Raw genomic sequence first — 7,138 nt, forward strand, 5'->3', positions numbered from 1 at the left:
CTGGGCACCATAGCCTGGCCAAGTTGACCATCAAATTTGACCTTTACCCCTTGGACACATAGAAAGCTAGACATGAGAAGGGTCCAATCCATGACCAGGAACTTGTCCACTTGTCAAATAGCCCAGAATACACCCTTGCCTTGCTCTGGGTCTCACATCCTTCCTTAGTAAACTGGCTATCAGAACACAGTCCTTCCAAAGTCCTGGGAAGAATTTCTTCCATTAAAGTTCCCCTGCCAGATCAAGTAGCACTCAGTGTCTCCCCAGCTGAGTACTGTCCCAGTGGCATCTTTAGTACCACCCCTTTTCTAGGCAGGGGTGGGTAAAGGTAGAGGGGCAGCAAGTAGGTGACCTTCCATGTTACCAGGCTCTCTGCATTTTTCTGACGTCACTGCCAGTCTCTTGTCTCCTTAGACTCAATGGCCCTTGGTGTGTGTCTGCTATTGCAGAGGCTAATCACATCTACAAAATGTATCTTTTTACTGTTTCTGTTATACTGCTTGTTGCCTCTAGGATGTTAAAGACAGCGCAGTCTCTGGCTGCCATTCCCAAGAAATCCACACACCCCAAACATTTTGTGAATTTCAGCAGCATTTCCTCAAGACTTGGTGGTGCTAAGGGTGGTTGAAGCTTACCTACATTACCTACATTTAATTCTCACATCAGCGTTGTGAGGCAGACATCATTAGTTTCACTGTGCTAAGCATCGTGACCCTGGCACACAGCTAATAAATGAGGGGGTTTTCAACCAGTTACTTTGTACTGGGTCATTCTTAAGAACCAGGGAATTGAGAGCCTTGTGTTCACTCATAAGGTAATGGAACTTAACTGAGCCACTGGAAATAGTGATACTTGTCATTTATTCAATTTACCCCACACATGAATACCTCCCAACAGTGGAAAGAGTCAGCTGTGCTCACTAAAAAGGTGGTGAAGTGGTCACGTGCACAAGTATGTGTGTGCAGTCAGGAATGTGGAGACCAGGGTAGGGACGTGTGAAAAATGCTGGATGTGGGCTCAGCATGGCCCTGCCCTGCCCCAGAGCCTCCACATAGGAATGCCAGTGTCATGAATCTTAAATTCCATCCCAGCTGCATGGGCAACATCAGCCCCACCCAGATGGAGTGGGAAGGGGCGTGGGATGAGCTTGCTGAAGGGGCGGCCATCTTTCTAGTCCCGCCTCAGTGTCATGGTAGCCAGGCAGATGTCTGTGAACACTTGTGGAAAAGTGGGATCCAAATATGAAGAGCTGCTGCCTCCCTGCCTGTGGCTGTCCTCTGCCTGGGCTATGTTCATTTCTCCTTGCGGTCTAAGGGAATCTGCTCTTCATGCCCCCATCTCCTGGGCAGGTACCCTTGGAACTCCCATAGCTATCCTGCAGTGTCTTGGATGCTCTTCTGCATCTTGTGTCTCCTTGTGATGATAAACTCCCTGTTAAACTGCCTGAGGCCTGAGATAGCTGAGGCACTTCTCCTACCTCCTCCACACATTCCTTCCATTAACACGCTGCCCTGGGTGCCTTCGTCAGATGCATTTGTGCTCTTCCAGTAGGACCCTGAGGGAATGCAGCCCCAGAGCGATTTGCCGGCAGGCGCTGTGCTTTCTTGCCTTTGCTGGTCCCCACATCTGGACACCACCTCTGCCTTTCCAACGCCCGACTCCTCTTTCCCTAGTGCTGTGAAATCTCCCCCTCCTTTGAATTCCAGACTGCTTAATTCCATTCCTTCTTGCAGCATTTATAATTATAGCAATAACTAACCTCTGTCTGGCTAGTATTCCTTACAAAGCACTTCCCCATATATGATCTTTTCTTATTCCTATGAAAAGAATTTGGCAAATAGCTGCCCTGCATTTCATATTTTCTATGAAGATTCTTTACATATATGTCACTCTTTTTTTTTTTCTGAGAAGGAGTCTTACTATTTTTCCCAGGCTGGAGTGCAATGGCCCGATCTTGGCTCACGGTAACCTCTGCCTCCCAGGTTCAAGTTATTCTCCCTGTCTCAGCCTCCTGAGTAGCTGGGACTACAGACATGTGCTACTTCACCAGGCTAATTTTTGTATTTTTAGTAGAGATGGGGTTTCACCATGTTGACCAGGCTGGTCTGTAACTCCTGACCTCAGGTGGCCTGCCTGCCTTGGCCTCCCAAAGTGCTAGGATTAAAGGCATGAGCCACTGTGCCCAGCCACATATATACCACTCTTAATTGTCACAGCAGAACCACAAGATGTGTGTTAGTGTGCCTGTTATACAGATGAAGAAACTGAAGTGTGGAGAAGCGAAATCCCTCATGAGTTTATCTAGCCAGGAGTTGAACCTAGGTCTGCCCAAAGCTTTGTTAGCTGTCAAAGCATGTGGCCTGTGGTGCTCTACTGGGCTCCATTTATAGAGGTGGAAACAGTGGCTGGGTGACTGAGAAAGAACTTGTACCAGATGGCAGATGCAGGACTGTGTCCCGATCTGAATACAGACTCCAGGCTTCTCCCTCGACATCTGCCACACAGTTGCTGATGTTCATGACTAATCTTAATCTTTTGATGTGAGCAACATGAGGGTAAGATCAGTGCCCAGGATGCTAAATTACCTATGAAAGATAAAGGAGGAGGGAGCAGGAATGGGTGGGAGATCCTCAGACCACAATGCCACCTGCTACCGGCAAAGTGGGGGCAGGCAGGCAGGAGGACTTAGGGAGGAGAGCTAGGACTACAGTGCGGCTCTGAGAGGGCCTCCTCAGGCCCAGGGGCAGGCTCCAGGCACAGGTTCCATCCAGGAGGCCTATCCTGGGCAGATGTGGCCTGGCTCTAATCCTCCCTCATGCTCACTCATGGCTGGGAGAATTCAGGGAGATGGTGGCCTTGGTGCAAATGCCACAGTGATTCTAAAGGCACACAGCTGCTGGCTGTCAGTCAATTGCACCCTTGGCCAATGCTCTCTGAAAAGAAGAGCTGAGCAGTGCACCTGCATGAGAACCACGTGGACGAAGCCAATGCTTTGGACTCAGAAAGACCTGACTTACCAGCCACGGGTTCACAGGTAAGTCAATTAGTTTTTTTGAGTTAATTTACTTACCTTTGGCTGACAGATGGATTAAATGAGGTATTGTATGTAAGATGCCTGTCATGATACAGCTGCTCAAAAATGGGCAGTTACCTTCCCTCTGGGAAGTCTGCTATAGTGGTTGGCAGGATAGATTCTGGAGAGAGATGGCTTAGGTTCAAATCCTGTTTCTGCTACTTGTTAGCTGTGTGATCTTGAACAAGTTACCTAACCCCTCTGGGACTCAGGTTTCTTCTGCAAAAACTGGAGATAATAATAGTTCTTAACCTCAGGAGGGATATTGTGAAAACTAAATGAGATAATCCATGAAGAAGTCAGAATGTAACAGCTATTACTGATGGCCTGTATCCTTAAGGATAAAGGGAAATGCATAGCAGTGGCCTGCAGAGGGCAGTATCCCCACAGCAATCTGATTTGCCTCTGGGCCAATGCTGTTTCTGGGCCTTTCAAGTTCAGAGCAGAAAGAAACAAGGTGTACAAAGCACAGCAGAGTGACTAAGTGACAAAATGTGCCAGAAGAGATGTGGAGAGCATGTAGAATAGGTAATATTTTTAAAAATATTATTTATTGGTGGGTGGCTGCAATGAAACAGAATGGAGAAAAATATCAATAATTTCAAATAAAAATCCTATGCACAATTTAAGGTGAACATGGAAACCAAAACTTCTCATAGAAAATGACACACCTGCTCTCTTTGGACATGTCTTAGGAGCCCCTGGAGTCTGGTGGCCTGGGCCCTAGTTTGTTTATACAATTTGTGTCAGAGATCAAGACACTCTTTGAAAACACCTGGAAAGCAACTTAAAGATCAACAGTTTAGAGCTGAGTGAATTGAAAGTGGAGTGCTTTGGAGTTACAGGCATCTGGTATGTAATACCAGCTCAGTCCCTATGTAGCTGGGTGATTTTTTTTTTTTTCAAGTCAGAGTCTCGCACTGTGGCCCAGGCTGGAGTGCAATGGCGCCATCTCCGCTCACTGCAACCTCCGCTTCCTGGGTTCAAGTGATTCTCCTGCCTCAGCCTCCCGAGTAGCTGGGATTACAGGCATGAGCCACCACGCCTGACTAATTTTTTGTATTTTTAATAGAGATGGGGTTTCGCTACGTTGGCCCAGGCTGGTCTCGAACTCCTGATCTTGTGATCTGCCTGCCTTGGCCCCCCAAAGTGCTGGGATTACAGGTATAGCTGGGCGACTTTAAGCCACGCGATTCATCTCTCTGTGGGATGCAGACAACCTTTTGAACAGTCAGAGCAAAGGGCCAGGCCAGGGATTATCATCAGTCTGTATTCCATGCCACATCCCCTCAAAGTCCTTTTTGATTTGCCCCTATGCTATCCTGCAGGACATTCTTCTAGTTTCTTAAGCATCTTGGATAAAGGGGGGCATTTTCTTACACCCCCAGTGTGCCTGTCACTCTTTTTGCTTCTGGTGAATAACTGCAATGTCTACTATCTAGTCTCCTAATTAGGTGTCTCTTGGGCCACCATTAACCATCGTCAAACACTGAAATCCCTACTGCTCTTTGTCATGGAGTCTGCTTCATGTACAAAAATACAGTTTATGTTGTTTTCAACCTAAATGTCTAAATCCCTGCCTCATTCTGTACATATCTTTCTGTAACTTGCCCTTTTCACTTAATCCTGTACCTTAGAGAGTTTTCCATGCCACACATAAACATTGACCTTGTTCTTTAATGCTACAATGGCAATCCACTGTAGGAATGTCTAGAATGAAAGAATTCCAGTGTCAAAGGCTATTTAGACTTTTTGAATTTTCCCCTTTAAAAAGCAGTGTGGCAAGGGTGCCTGTGTGTGCCTCGTCCATTTCTGCAAGTCTTTCACTAGGATGGATCCTAAAAATGGGGTTGCCAGGTTTCAGGGGTGAGCATGTAGAATTTTGACAGATACTAACAAGTCACCCCCAAAGTCTGTGCCTACTTATCATATAGTGTGGTATAGTATAATACAGCATAGTGTAGTACAGTGTAGCATAATATAGTGAGGCACAGTATCATATAGTGTAGCATAGCATAGTGCAGTATAGTGTAGAATAATATGCTATAGTCTGGTATAAGATAGTATAACATAGCATAGTGTAGCAGAGTGTTCTAACACACTCTTTATTATAGTCCTCAGATGACAGGTAATGTTTTATGTCAAAAATTGAGGAACTTGAGAGGCATATAGCCTCGTGGTCAGGAGCCAGATATTGCATTCAAATCTTAACTCTACCCCTCACAATTTTTGTGACTTTGGGCAAGCAACTTAGTCTTTTGTGACTCAGTTTTCTCAATGAGTTAATATATGAAAAACACTCAGAACAGGTGCTGGCAAGCAGCAAGCAGAGACCCATTGTTTTGTGCCACTGTTATCCCAGTTTCTCTAATCTGTAACACCTGGGGTGTTGGTGTTCTTAATGTGTGAGAAGTCGCAAGACACATGGGGTGCATGCAGTCAGAGAATACATTTCACTAGTAGATTTGTTGAAATAAGTAGTTGATAAATACCTAAAATGCTTTTACATGGAAACAAATGTATTTATGAAGAAGAATGCAAAATTGGTATAAATTTGAAAATATGGAACCTCAAAAATAGAATACCTGTTGAGGGCTTCTATGAACTCGATACTTCACCCCACTCCCTTTGCAGGTGCTCGCTTTGGATTATTCTGGAGTGAAAAGGTCAAATAATTAGAATAATTCATGGTGGTTTGCCTTCTGAAAAAAACTGAGGATCTTCGTGGGTCTAGATTTGCTTTCTTTGGTTTCCAGGTACTAATGTTTTTTCCTTAGCAATGAAATGCAAATTATTCTCATAGACAGCCAATATTGATGTTTCAGCAAATCAATGAACAGATGTTTTGCTTGAAATGATTTCTAATTAGTGCTCTATAAATGGCTGGAGTTTAAAATAGTCAACTAGGTAATCAGAGTTAGCCTTCATTTCCTATCTTACTGAGTCACTGGGAGAGATGGGGCACCAGGAAAACCCCAGATTTTCATAATCTTCAGATGTCATTGAAACTTGTACCTCAATTACACTGTCCTTCACTCTCTGCCCTTCTTTCACTCCATTTTCCTATTGTGTCTTTCTTTTTTCACATATGTTTGTCATATTGCAGTCAGTTAAAAATCCAGTTTGTCTTCCTCACCAGCTTTTCAAGGTGAAACAAAGTGGCTTCAAATTTTGTCTTAGTTATTTGTGTGAACTTGGGCAAGTTAGCTAATCTCCTGAGGCCTCTATTTGCCTCAGCTGGAAAATGTGGGTCATTTCTGCATCAGGTAGGGATTCTTCTGCTGCAAATACTAGAAAACTCATCCCAAACAGAATTTCCTGGCTCACGTGAGTGGAAAGGTTGTGGGTTCTCACTTTAGGCATATTTTGATTCATGACTCAATAGTCACCAGAGGACCCAATTTCTTCCTTTCTGCTGCAATTCCTTAGTTTTGACTCCAATCTCAGGTTTCAAATGGTAGAAGGACAGTTACATTTGCTCCATTCCCCACACATCTCAGGCTTGAATTCTAAAGGAAAGCCAGCCAGACTCCGTCCACACATTCCTAGCGGAAGCCTCACTGGGTCTCGCTGAAGCTGATTGGGTCTTGTGCCTATCCCTCAACCAATCACTGTGACGAGGGAAATGGGAGGCATTTATTGGCTCAGCCTAGGTCACATGACTTGCCCTTGCCCCGGATGTGGTCTCCCCTGGATGTGTTTCCACCACAGGTTGGAGAAGAGAATCCCCAACCCCAGCCTGTGAGAAGTTGCTAGAAAAAGAGAATATTTGTTTAAAGGAAAAAGGAAAGTGTTTGCTCTCATATCTCTCTGACACGTTTGTCGTGTGGATAATGAGGTGAAATAAAGATTGGTACAACTACCTAGCAAAAGTGGCGCATGCTGGGGAATGTCAGTTTTCTGTCAGTGTCTCCTCTCTGGCAATTCTTTGGCTATTGCTGCTTTCTCTTTGTTCTTTTGAGATTTTGTACGCTTTGCAACAATTCCTCAATTGATGCTTCTATCTCCAGTTCCAACTTCTCGTCATAGTTTTAGTCCTGCGTTTCCAACGACTTTTGATCATTT

This window comes from Homo sapiens, chromosome 12 (assembly GCF_000001405.40).
Source record: "Homo sapiens chromosome 12, GRCh38.p14 Primary Assembly".
Taxonomy (NCBI): Eukaryota; Metazoa; Chordata; class Mammalia; order Primates; family Hominidae; genus Homo; species Homo sapiens.